This window comes from Homo sapiens, chromosome 14 (assembly GCF_000001405.40).
Source record: "Homo sapiens chromosome 14, GRCh38.p14 Primary Assembly".
In the NCBI taxonomy this organism is placed as follows: domain Eukaryota; kingdom Metazoa; phylum Chordata; class Mammalia; order Primates; family Hominidae; genus Homo; species Homo sapiens.
Window position 1 is genome coordinate 70,580,688 of NC_000014.9, and position 22,206 is coordinate 70,602,893.

The window sequence follows — 22,206 nt, forward strand, 5'->3', positions numbered from 1 at the left end:
TACTGTAAGATTCCATTTATATGAGGTACCTAGTCAATGTCAGAAAGTAGAATGGTGGTTGCCAGGAGCTAGAGGAAAAAGGGAAAGTGGAGTTACTGTTTAATGGGTACAGAGTTTCCATTTGGGATAACAAAGTTCTGGAGATGAATAATGGTGAAGTGAAAGTACAACATGAATGTATTTCACGTTGATGAACCAATAAAAAAAATGTGCAGAAGACCTGAAAACACAAAAATGAGTATCCAAGTAGCCAAACATATGAAAAAATGTTCATCACCAATTACCAGGAAATGTAAACTGCAGCCCCCAAAAGATACCACTGAACACATGACTAAATTTTTCCTTGGCAATATCAAGGGTCAACAAAGGTGTGGTACAACTGGAGCCTTATACTCTGCTGGCTGGAGTATAAACTGGTATAACCATTTTGGTAAGTATTTTCACATCATCAACTAAAGTTGAATAAAGGGAGCTTCATGAGCCAGCAATTTGAATAAAATAGTAAAATGAGCCTATGTACACTGCATTAGTTCCCTAGAGCTGCCCTAACAAAGTACAACAATCTGGGGGACTTAAACAATAAATTTATTGTCTCAAAATTCTGGAGGCTGAAAATCCAAAATCAAAGTGTCAGCAGGGATATGGGCTATGCTTTCTCTGAAACCTGTAGGGGAATCCTTCTTTGCCTCTTAGCTTCTGGTGACTGGCCGGAAATCTTTGGCATTCCTTGGCTTGTAGACGCATCACTCCGATCCTCCATCTTCACATGGCATTCTCCCTTTGTCTCTTCACACAGCTTTCCTTTTATAAAGACACCAGTCATATCAGATAAGAGGCCCACTCTACTCCAGTATGGCCTCATCTTAACCCATAACATCTGCAATTACCCTGTTTTCAAATGAGGTCACATTCTAAGGTACTGGGGGTTAAGATTTCTGTATACCTTGTTTGAAGAAGATGACACAATTCAGCCCATAATATACACCAAAAAGCAATATAATATTCACACGATTAGAATATTCCTGAAATTGCATCTTACAGGTTCATAAAAATAGAATATTTATAAAAGCAATTTTAATAGCCAAAAACTATGAACAACACAAATGTCTATCACCATTAGAATGAATCCTAAAGTTGTAATATATTCATGAAACATAATACTACACAGAAATTAAAATAACTACAAATGAAACAACTCTGATGAACATCACAGACATAAAAGAAGTCATACATGAAATGCACACATTGAACCAATTATATTAAATTTTTAAAATAGGCAATCTAAACATTTATTTAGGGATGCATGGTTACAGACTAAAACTGCAAAGACAAGTGATTACCATAAAACTGAGGATGAAGGTGATTAAGCGTTAAAATCAGGAGGGGACATAAAGGAGCTTCTGGGGTACTAGCAAAGTTCAATTTCTTAACCCACATAAGTTACACGATTACAATGAGTTTTACTCCATTACTGACCCTGTCAGTTGAAAAGGCCTAGAAGCAATGACACCCCAGTAGCAATGAACATACCCAGCACGCAGATCTTGATTTCCAAATGCTATTCTCCACTAAAAGAAATAGAAGTGCCTGGCTCCAGCGTTGAAATGAGCCTGGAATATCTGATTGTGCTCAACAGCAAAGAAATCACTCAATGGATGATTAAGTCATATCAAAAGGACACAGGATCAGCTTGAAGGAGCTCCCATTGGCCTGATTTAGGACAATTTGGGCATCAATATGAATGATAGTAAAGAAATATACACACTGAAGAAAATAAGAATCCAGGAGTCCACAAAGATATTTTTAGAAAGGAAGGAGAAATGAAAGCTGTTTATAGCAGGAAGCTAACTAATAACATAAAACAATGAAATCAGAAAATCACCATTTGGCAACCATCAGAGTAATAAATGATTCAGGCAAGACTTATCAATGGAGGCTAGCCAGTGGGTAAAAGTTTGAGAAATAACAGGATACTCAGAGCCTTAAAATATTCCAAGATACTTATAAAAGGAAAAATAACTTTACAGTGGAGTAACCTTATAGACACTAACTTAACCAAGTGATTAATGTTAACATCACCAGAAACGGAGCAAACTGACAGCATGTGCCTCCGTAAGCATCTTTTCTATGGCATTCCTCACAAAAATGCATGAGGTGAATTTCATCATGAGAATATATCAAACAGACCCAAATTGAGAGACATTCCACAAAATGCATGGCTTCAACTACAAATATCAAGGTTATGAAAAACAAGCAAGATTAAAGAACTATTCCAGGTTACAGGAGACTGAAAAGACAGGACAACTAAATGTGGCCCATAACTCAGGATTTTCTTCTGTTGTAAATGACATTATTGGCACCACTGGTGAAACACAAATAACATCGAAAGAGAGAGAGAGAAAGAGAGAAACAGCGACAGGAGAGCAAGAGTCAGAGACAGAAGAAAGAGAGAAAGAAAATAAAGACTAAAATACAGAAAAATGGTAACAGATAGAGAAGTAGGGTAAAAGGTATATATAGGAATTCTTTGTACTATTCTTACAACTTTTCTGTTTGCCGGAAATTATGTCAAAATAAGAAGTTGAAAGACAAAAATCTCACACAATACATAAAATTAGACATTTCATAAAAGCAGAAAAAGATGAGAAATTCTTCAACTACTTTAAATACTAAAATACCACTTTTGCTACTTAACACTAAAAACATAAATGACAAAATTCAGTGGTAGCAATTCTGGAAAACCTGATACATACTTTCAAACTTCGCTGTTTGAGTGATCACTAGTCCAACATTTTGAGGAACAACTTAGCAATATGGACTAAGAGCAATAAAAATGCAGAGACTCTAGTGATTCCACTTCTGGAACTCTATCCTAAGGAAATAAATACCAAACACTGAAAAGGCATTATACAAAGATATAATCACAGCAGTCTTATATAAAATAATGTAAACTGGGAAAAATCCCAAATATAAGACAGAAAGAAAACTGAGATACAATCATTTACAGAAATTCGGACACTAAAACAGTCTATAAAAACTACATAAACATGGGGAAAAGCTTACAACAGATATAATAAAGTAAAATTGTACGAAAGGAATGATTAAAGTACAGTTTTAAAAGCATCTACATGCAGCAAGCACACTCAGCCCCCTTGCCATGAGATACCCTGTGCTGCCTAGGGACTTTGCAGACTTCCTACCAGCAAGAAGGCCCTCACCAGATGGAGCCAATCAATGCTGGACTTCTCAGCCTCCATAACTTTAAAAAAAATAAAATTCCTTTTCTTTATTGAAAAAAGAAGTATCTACACACAGAATAAGATTAAAATTCACAACACTGTTACAGTATTTATAGGGTAATGGTATTGGTGAGTGAGGTTTTTCCTTTTCTTCATCTTCCAAAATGTCAGCAACTGTTTATTTTAATACTGAGGATTATGTAACTGAACAAAAAGAAATATGCTTAGTTACTACTTTAACATCCTTTATGTCTTCAAAGTGCATCTGAAAAATATCAGTTATGATGAAGAAAAAAGTCATGATGAAGCAATATATACAAATACCTTTATTTTGCTTTTAAACATATCTACCAGTAAACATGTGAGTGTGTAGGTTGCTCAAGTCCGGGAGAGGAAAGGTTACAGAAGACATATAACAAATATTCACAAGAAATCATGATGGGAATAATATCTTTTCTTCTTTTTTGAGACAAAGTCTCGCTCTGTCGCCCAAGCTGGAGTGCAACAGCATGATAATCAGCTCAGGGCAACCTCCACCTCCCGGGTTCAAGCAAGTCTCCTGTCTCAGCCTCCCGAGTAGCTGGGACTATGGGCGCCCGCCACCACGCCCGGCTAATTTTTGTATTTTTAGTAGAGACGGGGTTTCACCATATTGGTCAGGCTGGTCTTGAACTTCTGACCTCAAGTGATCCACCCGCCATGGCCTCCCAAAGTGCTGGGATTACAGGCGTGAGCCACCACATCCGGCCTAATATCCTTTCAAAAAATAAGCGCATTCCATACAAATAAGAAGGTTACAATAAAGTACTTCAAAGCTCAAGAGCCACAGTACTGAGGTATGATAACTAGCATGAGGAGTCTTCCAGGCTTCTCTTTTGTCCAGTACTCACTGAAGTCTCATCCGTTTTTCAGGGGGGCCTTTAGCACTCACTGTCTGTTGTACATTCTTTGTGGTCTCCTTCTCCTCAGGTTTTACAGTTTCTGGTATAGGTTCTGCCTCTTTCTTTGTTTGATCCACTAGATATCAAAAGTAGATTTTTTGGGAGGGAGATATGGGTGGGGGGAATGAGATAAATGGTTAATATGAATGGCTCACATTTTCAAATTCATTTTTAACTGCTTATCTCAAGTTCTAGATCTAGCTGTTTCCCCAGGCAGATGTATACAAGAACCCAGTTACAAACCTAACAACCTGAAAACTCAAGGAAATTAATGATACTAGACAAAACTACATAGCATTTAAGTAAGACAGTATGTAAAAACAAGATATATAATTATTCTAACCCAGTACCATGATGGTTCAATACCTGTTTTCAATAATGTAACAGAAAACATCATTGTGTAAAAATACAGATTTGATGAAGAAACCTCGAATCACAGTGGCTTCCTCACACCTCCTCAATACCTACTTTTTCCCTCCCAATTCATCTTTTCACTACCACAATCACTACCACAATGGCACCACCTGCTGACAGTTCAGCAGCTCTCAAAGATTAAGAGTAAAAAACTACAATGGGAGACTCTAGAACAAGACTGTTCAACCCACCGCCCACGGGCAGCATGAGGCCCAGGATGGCTTTGAATGTGGCCCAACACAAATCTGTAAACTTCCTTAAAACATTATGAGACTTTTTTTTTTTTTTCAGCTCATCAGCCATCATTAGTGTTATTTTATGTGTGACCCAAGACAATTCTTCTTCCAATGAGACCCAGCCCCAGCTCTAGAAGGACAAAATGACCACAGCTCATTTCACATGCTATACTTGTGATTGATTTACAAGCTGTTTGACCTTATTTCAAGCGTAATAAGAATATTACATGAACCATACCTGGAACAGGCTTTTCTCCAGGCTTTAGCTATAATTTTTTAGAAAAAAGGGAGGGAGAGGAAGAGGAAAAAGAAGAAAACAGGTCAACTTGGCAAAATTTCTTCTTCCTGATGTCATATTAATAAAATGAAAGCTTCATCCAAATTACATTTCAAATGACTTTGTGAAGAAAAGCTACTATGTATGTACTATAAAGTAAATTTATCATTTTCTACTTCTTATTCCCCATTCCAGAAAAGACACAAATCAAAAACTAGAACAAGATAGTCAACCAACCATAAAAACACTTGAACATTTAACAAAGACTTCCACCTCCACACCCAGGCTACAATGCTTTATAAAAAGCAGTTCAGTAGAATCCAATGGGAAGAAATAATAAGTCTTTCAATACCCCAGAGTCTTATTTCCTTAGGGGTTATGACTTATGGGAAGGGAGAATGAAGTATGGATGAACCATGACTTTTAAAGTTGGTAGGCATGGGAAATTTGGAGGGAAAAGAGATTTCTGATGAGTCTATTATTAAAAACCAATCTATAGGAAAAAAAGATAAGAGCATTAGAGGTTAGAAACAAGGTCAGGTCCTTCACTCTGCAAGCAATTCTTTCACTTGATTAAGCTCTGTCATCTCCTTTGCCCCATTCCCCAAGTTAAATGCTCTACGACATTCTTGTCTTCTTCTACCCCTCATCCGATGACACTGTCTCCCATGTTTAAAAACAACAACAACAAAACCAGGATGCCAACACCACCAACTTCCTTACCATCTACCTTCAAACTTATTATAACTTTATATACATATACACATATATATTTAAAATACCTTATTACTTCCATATCATCTTAGAAGAAAAAACAGTCTCTTCACTTCTAATGCCTCCATCTGTGTGCTGAATCTTTCTGGATTTACATGCCCTCCCTAGGCCTTCTTACCTATTCCCACTTCTAACTACAAAATTTTCTGATATTACATGTTCCAGGTTCATGCTGACAACTGCCAACTATCCTACTCCAACTGCAAGTCCTGGGAATCTTTACACTTAACAAGACCAAAACTGAGCTTCACATTATTATCCACTGTGCAATAAAAAGGTTACCACAGAAGGCCTGAGGCTGCTATACTTAGAAAGGCCTGCTTGCAAGGTTGGCCCTTGGTTAGTGTCTAGAAACTTGGATTTTTGGAGGGTTCCCACCATTCCCTGGTAATAGTGGCTCACTGTGCCTAGACTGTACAAACAATGCAATTTAGGCTGAATACCTGCTTTCTTCAGAGGTTGTGAAATTTTGGTATGTGCTAGATAGAGGATACCTACATGAAGAGCTCCCCCAACTCCAAAAACACACCTTGGGTACCAGGTCTCTAATGGATCTCCCTGGGCAGAAATATCACACATATGTTGCTGCATTTTCACTGTTGAGAGAAGAGTGCACTCTGTGTAACCTCTTAAGGGAAGGAGAAAGTATAAGAAAGCCTGCACATAGATTCTTCCAGACTCTGCTGTGTCCTTTTCCCTTATGATCTGGCTATATACATCCTTGCTATATTATAGCAATAAATCTTAGCTGAGTACAACTACATGCTGAGTCCTCTGAGTCCTGCTAGCAATCCCCAAATACGGGAGTCATCATGAGAACCCCCAACAAAGCCACATATCACATTATCTTGTGAAAATATCAATACTTAACATGTCCAAAGTAATTTTGAGGGAATAAATTGTTTTTCTTTAAAATAGGAGAGGAAACATAGGGAGGAACATTGAGGAGAGTAAAAAATTTGAAAAGGGGGATTTTTCTACTGTCAGCACTGAACTACATTTAAACTATATTGGACACTGAACTATATTTGGACATTGGAATAATGTCATTATTTACCCAACATAATACACTGTCTAATCTTTTCTAGTAAGTCCTGCTAGACTAGTAGAACACGGTCTGAGATGGGGATATATAACAAGAGTGCTTCTTGGAGCAAATTTAATCAGGTGGCTTTGGTTTAGATAATCCTAGTTGAAGTAATATCCTATGGTATTCTAGCAGCTTCTAAAACCAGCAATAAAAAGACAGTCCTCATAAAAGGCTCCAAGGACTGAAACTCTCATCACATCAGTATTAGTGCAACTTCCAGCAGTAACAAGAATTAAAATATGGAAAAAGGAGCTTCAAAGAAGCAGACAGGACTTCTCCAATATTCTCCTGAACATCCCCTTACAGGGGCAACATCCCTGGGTACCACAAGCCCAACTGCTCGATAAAATTGATTAGTAGGAATACCTGCTGTATCCTTATCCGAACTACAGGTAGTTCTGGAGGATGCAATGGGTAAAGAGGAGTTCATATGAGCTAAAAGAAGTTCTGGGAGACTTGCAGTAGATTATTTTCTTCTCTAGATCTGAGGCTGGAAAAATTTTTGTTAGGAAAAGCAAAAAGATTATTAATAGTTCTAGAGAAAGCCATCTTTCTCCTAGTTATGTTACACAGAGCTGGATATACTCTATCTTTGGGAGTTGGTTTTTGGCCCTTGGATGGTAAAAGAAATGGCTCAGGAATATGATGATATAAGTATGAATGTGGCTAAACCTTTAAAAGAAAAAGGTAAAAAACTCACTGAAATGATATGAAATCTGCAGTCTGCTTAAAAATAATTGGGAGGGGCCGGGCGCGGTGGCTCATGCCTATAATCCCAGCACTTTGGGAGGCCGAGATGGGCAGATCACGAGGTCAGGAGATTGAAACTATCCTGGCTAACGCGGTGAAACCCCATCTCTACTAAAAAATACAAAAAATTAGCCGGGCGTGGTGGCAGGTGCCTGTAGTCCCAGCTACTCAGGAGGCTGAGGCACGAGAATGGCGTGAACCTGGGAGGTGGAGCTTGCAGTGAGCTGAGATCGTGCCACTGCACTCCAGCCTGGGCGACAGAGTGAGACTCCGTCTCAAAAATAATAATAATAATAATAATAATAATAATAATAATAATAATAATAATAATAATTGGGAGGAAGTAGGGGAAGAAGAGATAAAACAAGCTTGGCCATTTTGATAACTGTTGAGGCAGGCTAAAGGGTAGAGGGGGTTTCATTTTTAATTATTCTCTCTGCTTTCATGTTTTTAAAATTACCATACTTTTCTATAAAGTAAAGAGTTTTTATTTTAAGAATCAAGAGAGTCTTTGAGCTTTCTATAACGTCTAGCCTAGCTCACCAGGACAGGACAGCAAACAAGAATCAAGGCAGCATCCCTAGCCAGGGGCGGGGAAAAAAAAGTTGTCTTTCACTGGAGTACCTCAGGACTCAAATACAACAGCAAACTACCGAATGTTCTTTAGGTCGGTCAATGAAAACCAAACCCCTAACAACTGTTATTTCAACCAAAATCTGTTTCTTTCCCTGTATTCTGAATTTTAGTTAATAATACCTAGTCTAATTCTAGGCCTAAAACCACAGAATCACCCTTTGTCCAATCTCTCCAAATCCAACCACCAAATTAAAGCAATCCTAACTCGAAATACCTCCTGAATCTGTCTCCTCTCTATCCTATGGCCACAGAATTCAAGTTTTCCACAATTTAAGTGCCCTGACTCCAAACTTCACATGTGATTTCCTAAGCATCCCCCCCATACTGTTACTAGTTGCATTCCTAAAACACAAAACTGACTACACCACTCCCTTGCAACTACTTTTAAATACCCAATGGGTCCTTATCACCATCAGCAATAATTCTCAACTAGTCACTTGAAGATGAGATAGAGGAGTTTTTAGTGAGAATACACTCCTAGAGTATATACTTGAAAAACATTATACAAAATTTCTCCTGGTTTGGTCTGCCTTTGGTTATGATAGCTATTGGTTTAAAACTTAAAATAACTCTGAATGCATCTGGAGGCCTGTTATGTTTATGGGAGTGGTAATGGGTTGTAAGTTTAAAATAGAGAAGAAACATAGGCCTCCAGGATTAAATCCCAGCTCCTTTGCATAGCATACAAAATCCTTCTCAACTGACCTTAATCCATTTTTTAAGTCTCATCTTCCATTACTCTTCCCCTCCACAAACACAGAGTAAACCTTCAGAGGATTCTTCTGGTTTCTGAACATATGTTCACTAACTCATGTTTCTGGTTTTGCATGTTCTATTACCGTTTTCTAGATCACGACTGTTCAAAAGAAATGTGAGCCACAAATGCAAGCTATACATGTAATTTTAAATTTTCTTGTCACATTTTTAAAAAGAAACATGTATTTTATTTAACCAAATATACCTAAAATATTATTTCAACATATAATCAATATTTTTAAACTACTGAGATATTTTACATACATTCTTTTTCATACAAGTCTGAAATCCAGTATGTATACTGCACTTACATCACAACTCAATCTGGGCTAGCTGTGTTTCAAATGCTAATAGTCACATGTGCCTCGTGGTTACCATACTGGACAGCACATGTCTAGGTGTCTTCCCCTGGCCTACCTAGCATACACTATGTACTCACCAAATGAATGGTCAACTACACCTAACCTCTTACATTCTGTAGAGGTCACTCATCACCCTACTACAGCTATAATTCATTTATTTATTTATTCAACAGACTATGTTCCATCTTCAAGTGCAGTTGATGAGATTCCTCTAAACTGGCTTTCCTGTCCTGAGTTCCATCTTGTGTCCTCTGCTCTCTTCACCACTACATCACAATTCCAATAGCACCTATCTCTCACTACAGCAGAGTCAGGGAAGAGAAAAGGGGAGGCTTGTTCTAAAGTCATCTCATGTGAAAAATGTCATTTAGTTTAAAATTTCCCTTGAAAATCCCTTAAAGAGCTCCTAACAAAAACAGGGTATATGATCTTGTATGTACATTGTAAAGGTCCAGAAGAATTGAGACTAGCCATGAGAACAGCATATTCATCTATTCCATTCCATATCTACTAGACTCCAAAAGCTCATTTAGTAGAATGGCAGGTGGATTTGCTATTGCTGTTAGAAATCTCCCTGCCCCTCCAAATCACACAGTGGAATTCATATAACTTAAAACCCCAACACAGGGTATCTCTATTCATCACTCCTGTCTCCTCTGTTTATTATGCCAAACACTCTACCTCAGATGTTCTGTTCTTTTTGTTACACAAGTGTTAACTATTCTATCATTTAGGTTGTTCAGATATCTACTACATCAGGCTGGAAGGTGGCATGTAGAGTAAAAAGAGCATGAGTTTCATATTCTAGTTTTGTTACCACCTGTGACACTTTCAGCAACCTTTTGAATGAGAATATTATCTACATGCAGTCCTCATAGTTTGTGAAGTTTCAGTAAGAAACACAAAACAGTGTTAATTCCATTCCATTTACCCATTTCTTCCATTAAGTCTTTCGAAACCTTTCCTTTGATACAGAGATCATTTTTTAACTAATGAGGAAAATTGTACTTTTAGGTCACATCTGAAACAGTTCTCAATTAAAAATTAATATATATGCCATAAAGAAGTGTCAAATCAAGATTAACCACACATATTCTCATTACCTGCACAAATTTGGGTGGAAATTTTTGTCTGAGGTCTAAAAGTAAAGCATCCACACGTTGTCTCTGAAAAATAGAGCTTGGTTCTTCTTTCCTTTTGGCTTTAGGTCTGACTTTATCTATTAAAATACGAAGTCCAAATCAAAACATTGCCTACTTAGTTTGGTGTCTCATATTTTACAAATCTTTATCCACCATGAATATACCCAAACTTCATTATTTTTAATGGCTGCTATACCAAAGATAATTCCCAAAATAAGGTAAACACAGCACATATACAGAAGTGTTGTTAACTCTCCCTCTTAACTGAAGTTAAATTCTAACATTTAAGCTGATACATATGTCTTTTAAAGATACTTCAGTTTTGGTATATAAGCACGCACAACCGTAAGAGTTTTAAAGCTAAAGTTTTTCATAATTACCTAAATCACACAATCCAAATTATTGGCTTGAAATTACCTTTGTTATTTTAAGTGTATTAAATGGTCTTTTCTCACAAAACCTACTAGCAACAAATGGAAATGCAGGTTTCACAAACTCAAGCTACCATATTCAATTATTAAGACTGTAATTCACTAAAAAAAAATAATAAAACAGAAAATTATGAAGACAAAAAAGAAAAGAACCTGAAAGAGAAATTCTGAAGTTAATCGCATGTGGGATTTGCCCTTGGGAGGGAGGTGTATTGGGAAACTGTCTCTAAGCAAAGGATTCCAGATAAGTGTTACTCCGAACACTTGGTTATCGTAGGGGAAAAGAGCCATTGGGCCAATTTTAGTCAACAAAGGCAAACTTTCCTTCATCAAATGTTCCTGCTTATACCTACTATTAAGAAGATACAGGTCTGAATTCTATACAAATGCTGTTTCCCTCAGTAATTTATTCTGACTTGCTATTTCTCAGAAAAGGAAATGGAGAATACAAGTATGCTGTTACAGGCACATTTCTGGAGGTAGTCGAACAGTAAAATATGATGAAGACAGTAGCAGATTACATGGAAACTTGGAGGACCTGGAGCCACAAGAGGTGATGAGATGCAAAGATCAGAAAACAGACTGGCCATCTGGGGATAGGGCTCTAAAAAGCAATCTCTCTCATCTCCTCTGCTTTGAAGACTGGAGGAATAAAGAGTTCCAGATACCAAGATAACTCAACAGTCAGGTAAGTAAGGAATATCATCTCTGCTCATTCCACACCACTGTCTCTCCTATGTTCCTTTTTTTTTTTTTTTTTTTTTTTTTTTTTTGTAGAGACCAGGTTTCACTATGTTGCCCAAGCTGATCTTGAACTCCTAGGCTCAGGTGATCCACCTGCCTTGGCATTCCAAAGTGCTGGGATTACAGGAGTGAGCCACCACACCTGGCCCCAAATATTTTAAAACCTTGAATCACCTTAACAAAGACTACCAGTTAACTAACAGAGTGAACTTGCATCTGTTCCTATGTGAAAGCTATTATTACCACATCTAGTTACATGAATCTCAGCTGCAACAAAGCCATCATCCCATGAAAAAGTGAAACACACTTAGAAAAGATCAACAGCCATTTTCCTAAAGAAAACAGCTTCATTCTCAGAGGATCAAAAAGTGTTTTAGGAGGGTATGGATGTTCTACTTACCTTGCTCTTCATGATCTTTGAAGTGCCACCAATACCCTTTGGAAGGATGATATCGACAGTATGACATAGCTTCATCAAAAGCTGACTGAATACCATGCACTGCAGTAAGCTTGTAAAAGGAAAATAAACTCTAAATTTATCATTAGGTCGACCAAACTTTCCAAAGTAAATACTCACAAAATATTACATATGCAAAGACAGAACCTATTTTTCAGAACCTAAATTACTATATAATTGAGACTATGAAATATACTTTGAGCACCGACTTGGCTCACAGTAACCAAAGTTCAAGACATTCTAATAGTCAATACTTTATAGCAACTTACACAAGGCAGAGGAGCTCTAGTTTGATTACTGGAAGCAAGGTAGCTAATTAAAAGTTTTCTTTAGTGCTTAAAGAATGTGAAGACACTTACCACTCTAGAGTTTATAACTGATCCCAAGTCTGGTGCCTGATAGATCACTCCAGCAATGATATAGTAATCAGCTAGTGGGATAACTAAAACAGTGGGAAAAAAGGTTTATAAATACAGCTATGGACACAAACTGCTAAACAGATTCTCATAAAAAGAAATAAAATCTGACATTTTCCCATAAGGCAGGGTTTAGCAATTACTGTTTTGGTAAAGCTGTACTAGAAAACAGCCACATCCAATCATTTACATATTATCTATGGCTGCTCTGGCAATAATTGAGCATTGTCACAGAGACTACGAGGCCCACAAACCCCAAGTATTTAGTCACTGGCCCTTTTCAGAAAAAGTATGCCCACTGTTGCCCTCCAGCAGTGCTTCTCAAATTTTAATGTGCATCTGAATTACCTGGGGACCTTGTTAAAATTAGATTCTTATTCAGTAGGGATAGTGCATTTCTAACGAGTTCCCAAAAGATGCCAATACTGTTGTCAGTCAACCTTACTTAAGGGAGTAAGACCTTGGAGCAAGACAGACTGGGGGGTCCAGTGTAAAGATATCAAATGCAATGAGCTTGCTTTTGTGCCCCAGTGCTGGGTCCTAAGGAATAAGATAGCTGCTAGTGAGGCTACTGCCGTCTTGTGTAATTTTTACACCTTGAATCCTCTCACTATGGAAATCTTGTCTTGTCGCTGGTTTGCCTTGGTTCTAAGGTTCTCTTTTACTCTGGGCAGGGACTCTAGATCTTTGATTTTGTAACTGATTTTGGATTCCAGAATCACAACTTCTTTATCAAGTCATTCTCTGAAAACAATGCCAAGTTAAAGATTGTCCATAAATGTCTTAATGAGGGTATCCAATTGAGAGATGTAGCTAGAATAACACCCATCTGGCTCCCCTATCTTGAATCTTCTCTTCAGTATGACTTTATCCATGGTCTTGCCTTGATTCTAATGTCTTCAATTTCTGGTCATCGCTGGAAAAGGTGTCTAGCTCTTTGATTCAAAACCAAATCTGGACTCTACACTCTTCAGTGTTGTTTCTAAACCAAGCTTTCAGTAGGTAGTATAACCCACGCAAGGCTTTTAGTTGAATGCATCACTGAGGATTTTCAACTGATCCTCTATTAATTTGATATGACCAGATCTACCATGCATTTTGTAAAAGAATTAACTCAGTGGACTGATGTGAAAAAAAAAGTTAATTGTGGTCATCAGCAAAGCCTGAGTCCTGTCCTCTCACTCTCCTCCCCAGACAGCATGAGTTTCACCACTCACTCCACCTTCTCCAACTACTGGTCCCTGGGCTCCATCCAGGCGCCCAGCTGCGGCACCCAGCCAGTCAGCAGCACGGCCAGCGTCTATACAGGCACCGGAGGCTCTGGTTCCCAGATCTCCGTGTCCCGCTCCACCGGTTTCCAGGGCAGCTTGGGGTACAGGAGCCTGGCCATGGGATGGCCAGGGTTCTAGCAGGAATGGGAGGCATCCAGAACGAGGAGGAGACCATGCAAAGCCTGAACCTACCCTGGTTCAATGCCTGACCTCCTACCTGGACAGAGTGAGGAGCCTGGAGACCGAGAACCAGAGGCTAGAGAGCAAAATCCAGGAGCACCTGGATAAGAAGGGACCCCAGGTCAGAGATTGGGGCCATTACTTCAAGACCATCGAGGACCTGAGGGCTCAGATCTTCTCAAGTACTGTGGACAATGCCCACATTGTTCTGCAGATCGACAATGCCCATCTTGCTGCTGATAGAGTCAAGTATGAGACAGAGCTGGCCATGTATCAGTCTGTGGAGAGCAACATCCATGGGCTCTGCAAGGTCAATGACACCAGTGTCACTCGGCTTCAGCTACAGAGATTGAGGCTCTCAAGGAGGAGCTGCTCTTCATGAAGAACCGTGAAGAGGAAGTAAAGGCCTACAAGCCCAGACTGCCAGCTCTGGGTTGACGATGAAGGTAGATACCCCCAAATCTCAGGACCTCGCCAAGATCACAGGAGACATCCTAATACGAAGAGCTGGCTCAGAAGAACTGAGAGGAGCTAGACAAGTACTGGTCTCAGCAGATTGAGGAGAACACCACAGTGGTCACTATGCAGTCTGCCAAGGTTGGGGTTGCTAAGGTGACGCTCACGGAGCTGAGAGGTACGGTCCAGTCCTTGGAGACTGACCTGGACTCGATGAGAAATCTGAAGGCCAGCTTGGAGAACAGCCTGAGGGAGGTGGAGGCCTGCTATACCCTGCAGATGGAGCAGCTCAACAGGATCCTGCTGTACCTGGAGTTGGAGCTGGCACAGGCCGGGGCAGAGAGGCAGCACCAGGCCCAGGAGTACAAGGCCCTGCTGAACATCAAGGTCAAGCTGTAGGCTGAGATCACCACCTACCGCCGCCTGCTGGAAGACAGCCAGGACTTCAATCTTGGTGACGCCCTGGACAGCAGCAACTCCATGCAAACCATCCAAAAGACCCCACCCGCCAGGTAGTGGATGGCAGAGTGGTGTCTGAGACCAACAACATCAAAATTCTGAGACATTAAGCCAGCAGAAGCAGGGTACCCTTTGAGGAGCAGGAGGCCAATAAAAAGTTCAGAGGTCAAAAAACAAAACAAAATTACTTGGGATGCTTGACGTTCAGTCGGTATACCAACTGTGCTCACAGAAAGAGGTAGCTTTGATGCAGTGAGTCGCTCTGACTGTTAGTGCTTGAAGAGTTGTCCTTGGGCATGCTCCAAGAGTCCTGGTATCCAAGTATACAACTAGTGGAACTTGGCTTTTGAAACATTTCCTATATGATAGTTAGGCTGGTTGTACCAGCCTTTGCAGACAATTTGTACAAACAATGTGATTATAGTAGACACCAGATTTCTTTTGGAAAATCTAAAAATCTGGTGGGCAGAGGATGTCCAAGCAACCAACCCTCTATAAAAATCCCTGGCTCAGAGTCTTATATGGACTTCCCTGAGCAGACATATTGAATGCAGCTGCATTTCACTGCTGGATGGAGGGCACACTCTGTGGCCCTTCACAAGCAAGAGGGAAAGCATAAGAAACTTGCACATGGATTCCTACAGACCCCACCTGACATGTCTTTTTCCAGTACTAATCTGGCTGCGTACCCTTACTGTGTTGTCATAACAAATCTTAGCTGTAAGTACAACCATATGCTAAGTCTGGTGAGTCCTCCAGCATAGTACTGAACATGTATGTGGTCTTGGAGACCCCCCAAACAGAAACCAATCAAAAAAACAAGTTAGGTCAGGAAGTAAATAAATTATGGTATTTTAAAAAGAAAACAATGCCTAAAGTTTACACATTTTACCTTGGGCAGGGGACTGCCGCTGTTGCTTCCGAATGATGAAAAGAATGGGCTCTTGAGCATGCAAAAGGATGTACTCGATTCCAACCATCTGACTGAAAACAGAACACAGACATCCAAAGATCTATAAACGCCCTACAAATAATTTTATAAGACATTCAAATTATTATATAAAAATGCAGCAACACTTTAAATAGGATTAAAACTGCCTATGTTTGGTGTTATAATCTGGCTGTTGAGTAAAATTGGCTGTTTTCCCAGACAGGTGGCATATAGATAAAGTAAGACTTGTTTCTAAACAACAAAATTTCTCTACAACAATGTATTATAAATTTAAATCTAAGTATTTTCAGTCAGGAAAGTACACCAAAGAGTGTCCGTTTCAAAAAGGCAATCAAAATGCCATGATGCTTCCTGACCAAATCTACGAATACATACAAAATATAAAAATAAACATGAAGACACAACTATATATATTACCAAACTAGAAAACATCAAAAACTTTATCCTCATCCCAACAAATTTTTTTACCTGACAGATTATGTTTAAAAGCAACAATAAGTTGTCTCAATAGCTGTATTTGCCCCATAACAAAAGCCATTTAAAATATAACAGATATTTAATTTTATAAGCTCCTCCTCAATATGTAGCTAACAGGAAAATTATATCAACAGTTGTTTCAAATACTTTTGTAATATAAACTAGATATAAAAGAGACAATAATTATAGTTGCCTGGTTGAGAATAACAGTAGCATTGCCAAAATCACTCATCAGATCCAAATCTAAACCTGTTATATTGTAATTAAACATTATGAAGTTATACAGAAAAGACCTCTGTTAAAAGTGAATACTAATAGTTACCCTGCATGTCAAATTTGCATAAACCCAAACAAAACTCCAGTTTTTCTTCTAAAAGTTCTACTCTGCACTTCATGATCCACAGTTTGAAAGAACTGTTCATTGCAAAACTTGTATTTGGAAAAAGTGCCACCTTCTTAAAATAACTTACTTCAAGTGTTCTAATGTTAGCCTCTGCATTTTGACCACTTCATTATTACATGTTCTGTCATAAAAAGGATTACTTCTTTCTGAAAAGTAATCCAGGACACTACCACTGTTCAAAATAGGGATCCAAGAGCTGTCAACCCAAGAAATTCCCAGCAGATTGTCTATGGGAAAGAAAACAAAATGATAAAGGATTAGAAAAATAGAAAGAATCCAATCCAACAAACATTTATTATACATCAAATGTAGTAGGCACTATGAATATAAGGATGACATAGATCCTAACCAACACACTCTCATGATGTAACAGAAGAGATTATGCAAGAAAGCAATAACATGATTAAGTCTTATGATAAAGACATGGTGAAACCCTGTCTCTACTAAAAATACAAAAAATTCTGGCCGGGTGCGGTGGCTCAGCCTGTAATGCCAGCACTTTAGGGGGCTGAGGTAGGTGGATCACCTGAGGTTGGGAGTTTGAGACCAGCCTGACCAACATGGAGAAACCCCGTCTCTACTAAAAATACAAAATTAGCCTGGCGTGTTTGTGCATGCCCATAATCCCAGCTACTTGGGAGACTGAGACAGGAGAATCGCTTGCACCCAGAAGGTCTCGGAGATTGTGGTGAGACGAGATCACACCATTGGACTCCAGCCTGAGCAACAAGAGTGAAACTCCGTCTCAAAAAAAGAAAAAAAACAAAACAAAAAATTAGCCGGGCATGGTGGTGGACACCTGTAATCCTAGCTACTCGGGAGGCTGTGGCAGGAGAATCACTTGGACCCAAGAGGCGGAGGTTGCAGTGAGCTGAGATCGCGCCACTGCACTCCAGCCTGGGCGACAGAGCGAGACTCCGTCTCAAAAAAAAAAGACATGAAGAAATGTGTTACGAGACTACAGAGGACCTGGGGAAACGAAAATCATTTTTCATGTGGAGAGAAGGTGGGTTTTAGCACGGTATGTTAAAGAATAAATAAAAACTTACACAGAGAAAAGGGCAAAGTAATTCCAAGCAGAGAGAATGTATATACAGAGGTGTAAAAATATAAAGTATATTATATCTTTAGAGAATAATTTCATTAGGTGAAGAAGTGATAAGATTTAAAATTTAGAAAGGACTTTTTTTTTTATTGGAAATCCTTAATGCTGGCAAGGAATTCAAAATTTTCAAATAACATGTATGCCCAAGAGAACACATCTATAGCTACCAGTTTGAGATCTCTCAATTAGGGATAGAGAAGTTAGGAAGCTATTATTGTAGATGAGATGATAATGATGTAAAAGCTAAGGGATAAACAGGAAGTAGAGTTCCCTTAACTACAGCCACACGGTTTCATATTTAGCGTAGAATTAAATCATAGCTTTTAAAAAGACATGATAGAGCTAGATACTTTTAATAAATGAGCTTGTATTGGCTATTGGCTTTCATGATGCTTCATACCACTGACTGTACTGAACACCACTAGGTGTAAATCATGAACATCAAAATGCCTATACAATACTGGTTGAAAAACTTCAATCTCTCTTATACTGTCATTACCTCAGGCATCTTCAAAGAAGTCAGACCTAATTCAAGGTGACAGGCAGTTTTGAGCCAAGTGACTCAACCGAGAAAAATTATATAAAGGTAAAATGTACTTTGTGTGCTATAAAATAAAGGAGGAGACAGATGAAGTGCGTTAATAACCAAATAATTAGTATAGACCATTTAGATAGTTCATCATAACTGGATCATGCAATAACCAAATACACAACAGGCCAGGAAATAACATTTTCAGAAATGGCCTCCTAACTGGTTTTCCTAATTCTACCCTTGCCCTCCTACACTGTTCCCAGCAGCCAATGTAGTCCTAAAAAAAAGTCAGATCACATCATTCCTCTGATGGAAACCCCTCCAATGGCTCTGCGTTTTACTCAGAGGAAAAGCCAAAGACCTTATCATAGCTTTCAACACCTTTCTGACTTCATCTCCTTCCCACATCCTCTCTCACTACCCTCCAGCCACACTGACCTCCTTGCTGTTCCTTTAACACACCAAACACACTCTTATTTTAGAGTCTTTGCCATGATCCTAACAATCTGAATTATAAGTAAAACATTTTATAAACTAAATATTTCTCTTTTTTATTCTGTAGCAAGGCAACATGTTGACATAGCCCAAGCATTCTAACAGCATTCTAACCATCAGCAAGTGATGAAATAAATAATGAAAGACACGTATGTAAAATCATGATCCAGAAGTGCTGCAGATCGCCAGATAAGTATAAATGAGAATATTTGTAATAAATGTGTTAGACCCCAATCCAGTTAATATTAAAAAAAGGCATCTCAAACATCTCCCTTTAAAAATCAAGTACTATATACACAAAAACAACTCTACATGCTCCCCAAGATCAAGCAGCAGTTAAGGGGTGACATCTCCATACATTTATTCACTGACTGATTCAATATTTGAGTACTTCTGCAGTTCAGCTGTGAAAAAAATACGACCCCTGCCCATAATAATTGCTGGACGTTCGATGTAAAGTATTATCGACTCAAAAAAAAAGAAAATATCTGGGATTCATGCTCAGGGACCCGTGTGGCGCGGTCTAAAGAATTAGGCAGCCACCATGCCAAGTCCCAAGAGATGAATCAAATCAAGTTGGCTTATTACCCCATTCCCTTCTCTGCCTAAACGCCATTCCTTCACTCCAATAGAATAGCCCTAATGTTGTTGCAGAGATACGTGTGTAGAACAAAACTCCAGCTCTGAAAGCTCAAAACCCAGAGCTTCTTCCAACCCCTTCTCTCCGACGCTTCCAAGAGACGCTCCAAGAACTCAGAAAAAAAAAAAAACTCGTCAACGTTTCGCTAGATCACAGCCTTGGGTTGTCCACAAAAACCACTCAAAAAAGCTTGAGACTTCACACAAAGGAACCTAAACCTTGAAACCGCGAGCTATAACATCCCAAACTGGTCCACAGACAATCAAGAGACAAAATATAGCAATACAGTATACCTCGGATATCCACCGCCGCCATAATTCCGAGAGCGTTTACAGGTTCTCTTTCCGGCGCAAAGTAAACGTAAGCCTAGGCCGCCGGAAGCAGCGGGTTGAAGAGAGTGCGCATGGGTGAGGAGGGACGTAGAGCGGAAGAGGGGGCGGGGCGGGCAGGAGAGAGGCAGGGGGTGGAGGTGCGGGTGGGAGGGGAGGAGACGCGAGGGGGCGGAAAGCGGGAGAGGCGCGGGAGGCGGGAAACGTGGGGTGGGGTGGGGTGGGGTGGGGTAGGGGAATGGGAGGGGACGGGACGCAGAAAGATTGGTGCAGGGGAGCAGGGAAAGACTAGAAGAGGGATGGGCCAAAGAAGGAGAACGGGAGGGCGGATTACTGGGAAAAAAATTAGAAGACTTAGAGGACAGAAAGACCGAGTGGAGTCCCGCCCCACGCCCACCACTGATGGAAGAATTCTGCCTTGATCGTCTGTGATCGTCAAGAAAACAAATTCTGATGCTGTAGAGTTGTGCTTGGGAGTGTCTCTTAATTTTAAAAGCTCCCCGGGTGTATCCACTGAGCTATCAGATTTAGGAACGATGGTCATTTATATTTTTCTCCCTGCCTCAGGTATTGGGATGGGACAGGACTTAAGAATTTGGGAGTCATTGGCTTTTATGTGACTAAATCCATTAAAAATCTAAACCAATTAAAGAAGCCTCTGAGAAAAATTTCACAACACAGGAAATGCTTCTGAAGTGAAATATTAATAAGATTAAGAGAAAGGGAATACCCCTGGGTCCCAGAGTAATGAGCAAATGTCTGCATTCCAAGTAGTCTGGAGTAGGTAGCAAGGCTCCAAAGAGGGAATGATTCTGTGTACGGGGAAGCTACAGAAAGCCTCAGATTCTCAAGCTTCAGTGTGGCTCTGTAAAAGCAAAACGATACAGAAATATGCAAACAACACACAGATACTAGGAAGAGGATGCCAAAATCTGAAGGAGGGATGAGGGCGGGTGCCTACATCTTCTCCAAAACTTAGGTACTGTGAAGACTCCCCAAGAATTTAACCACAACCCAGGAGCAAGAGGGGAAGACCAGAAATTTAATTGGGATTTTCAACCTCATAGACAAGGAATTAAAAATTTGTTAACTCCGTAGAATAAAAGTACGTTGCCTGTACATTTCAGTTTGGGAATTTTCTGCCTGAGATGGTATGTATAAAATAGGTGTCCCAACAGAAGTATGTGCATGCACAGAGTAAAGTTTTGAGAGAGAATTTTTCAGGAGGGCCTGGTTGGGAGCCTAGTGGGAGGACATTGCAAAAAGGAAGAGTATCGTGTCCAATAAAAAGTGTGATCCATAAAGCTTTTTGTTTTGTTTTTCTAGTTTTTTGTTTCCTTGTGTTTTGATTAGGCTAGAAGGAGATTAGGAAGAATAGTGACAGAATGCAGATCTGTAGATAATAAAACATATGGTATGCATGGTAAATAAGACCTGGAAGCTCAACCTTTATTTTGTAGGCAATGGGAGAAATGTGATCAAGCTTCCATTTTAGAAAGATAACTTGAGGAAGACAGGGCAAGGTGGCTCACGCCTGTAATCCCAGCACTTTGGGAGGCCAAGATGGGAGGATTGCTTGAGCCCAGGAGCTGGAGACCAGCCTGGTCAAGATAGCGAGATCCCATCTCTATTTCTTTTATATTAATTGTTTCAGTTAATAAAGAAATATAAATTAAAAAGTGTGGTAACAAAAACAAGAGAAGACAAGATAGGGAGGAAGCCACTTTGGGTAGGACAGTCAGGACAGGCCTCTCTGAGGAAGTGATACCTGAGATGAGACCTGGAAGATGAAAGCAAATCACTCATGTGAAGAGCTGGGGCACAAGCATATCAGACAGAGGGGACCATGGACCCTACAGTGGGAAAGGGGTTGGTCTGAGAACCACAGAAAGGCCAGTGTAAGCCGGGTTGTATGAGTGAAGGATGAATGATGGGAAAAGAGACTGGGAATGAAGGCAGGGGCCAGATGATAGAGAGCCTGGTCAATAATTTATTTTTTATTCAAAGAACATAGGAAGCTATTAAAAGATTTGAATGAGTAGAATGCCACAAAGGTTCTGACTGGAAATTTGTTTATGGATGTCAAAAGTATTTGTTGTGCTTATTGAGCCACTTACTATGGACGAGGCACTGTGCTAAGCACTTTGACGAACTATCTAGTTGTTCCCTCAAAACAATTTTATGAGGCAGAAGCTATTACTCCCATTTTTAAATGAGGAGACGGACTGAGGCAGATGAGCTA

The 22,206-nt window shown here is 39.5% G+C and overlaps 1 protein-coding gene and 2 pseudogenes across 4 annotated transcripts, besides 1 other annotated feature; 1 reads left to right on the forward strand and 2 right to left on the reverse strand.

The window, feature by feature from the left end:
• Positions 1–2,533: 2,533 nt before the first annotated feature.
• On the reverse strand, positions 2,534–19,968 carry MED6 (mediator complex subunit 6). Of its 4 annotated transcripts, NM_001284211.2 has the most exons (9): positions 19,929–19,968; positions 16,931–17,090; positions 15,924–16,015; positions 12,609–12,691; positions 12,193–12,301; positions 10,579–10,694; positions 5,069–5,096; positions 4,130–4,256; positions 2,534–3,443 (listed from the first exon to the last, which is right to left on the reverse strand). In NM_001284211.2, the coding sequence occupies exons 1-9, from the start codon at positions 19,948–19,950 to the stop codon at positions 3,407–3,409; spliced, it is 774 nt and encodes a 257-aa protein (NP_001271140.1). In that variant the 5' UTR covers positions 19,951–19,968; the 3' UTR covers positions 2,534–3,406. The 4 variants fall into 4 exon arrangements, with proteins under 4 accessions (NP_001271140.1, NP_005457.2, NP_001271138.1 ...); NM_005466.4 differs by having other exon boundaries at positions 2,534–4,256; NM_001284209.2 differs by having other exon boundaries at positions 2,534–4,256; positions 12,193–12,322.
• DUXAP12 (double homeobox A pseudogene 12) lies at positions 13,224–13,741 on the reverse strand (annotated as a pseudogene).
• KRT18P7 (keratin 18 pseudogene 7) lies at positions 13,815–15,200 on the forward strand (annotated as a pseudogene).
• Positions 19,470–20,669: an enhancer, noted in NCBI's record as "BRD4-independent group 4 enhancer chr14:71066874-71068073 (GRCh37/hg19 assembly coordinates)". NCBI's record gives its function as "activates an origin of replication core promoter dependent on BRD2, P300/CBP, MED14 and CDK7 cofactors, and independent of BRD4, by STARR-seq in HCT116 cells {active_cell/tissue: HCT116}" and the evidence as "EXISTENCE:reporter gene assay evidence [ECO:0000049][PMID:35650434]".

Coding starts and splice junctions, on each gene's coding strand:
- MED6 (NM_001284211.2), bottom strand. CDS start 19,950: ATGGCGGCGGTGGATATCCGAG. Junction 17,091..19,928: donor GGCGGCGGTGGATATCCGAG/GTATACTGTATT, acceptor TCTTTCCCATAG/ACAATCTGCTGGGAATTTCT. Junction 16,016..16,930: donor CTAACATTAGAACACTTGAA/GTAAGTTATTTT, acceptor TTCTGTTTTCAG/TCAGATGGTTGGAATCGAGT.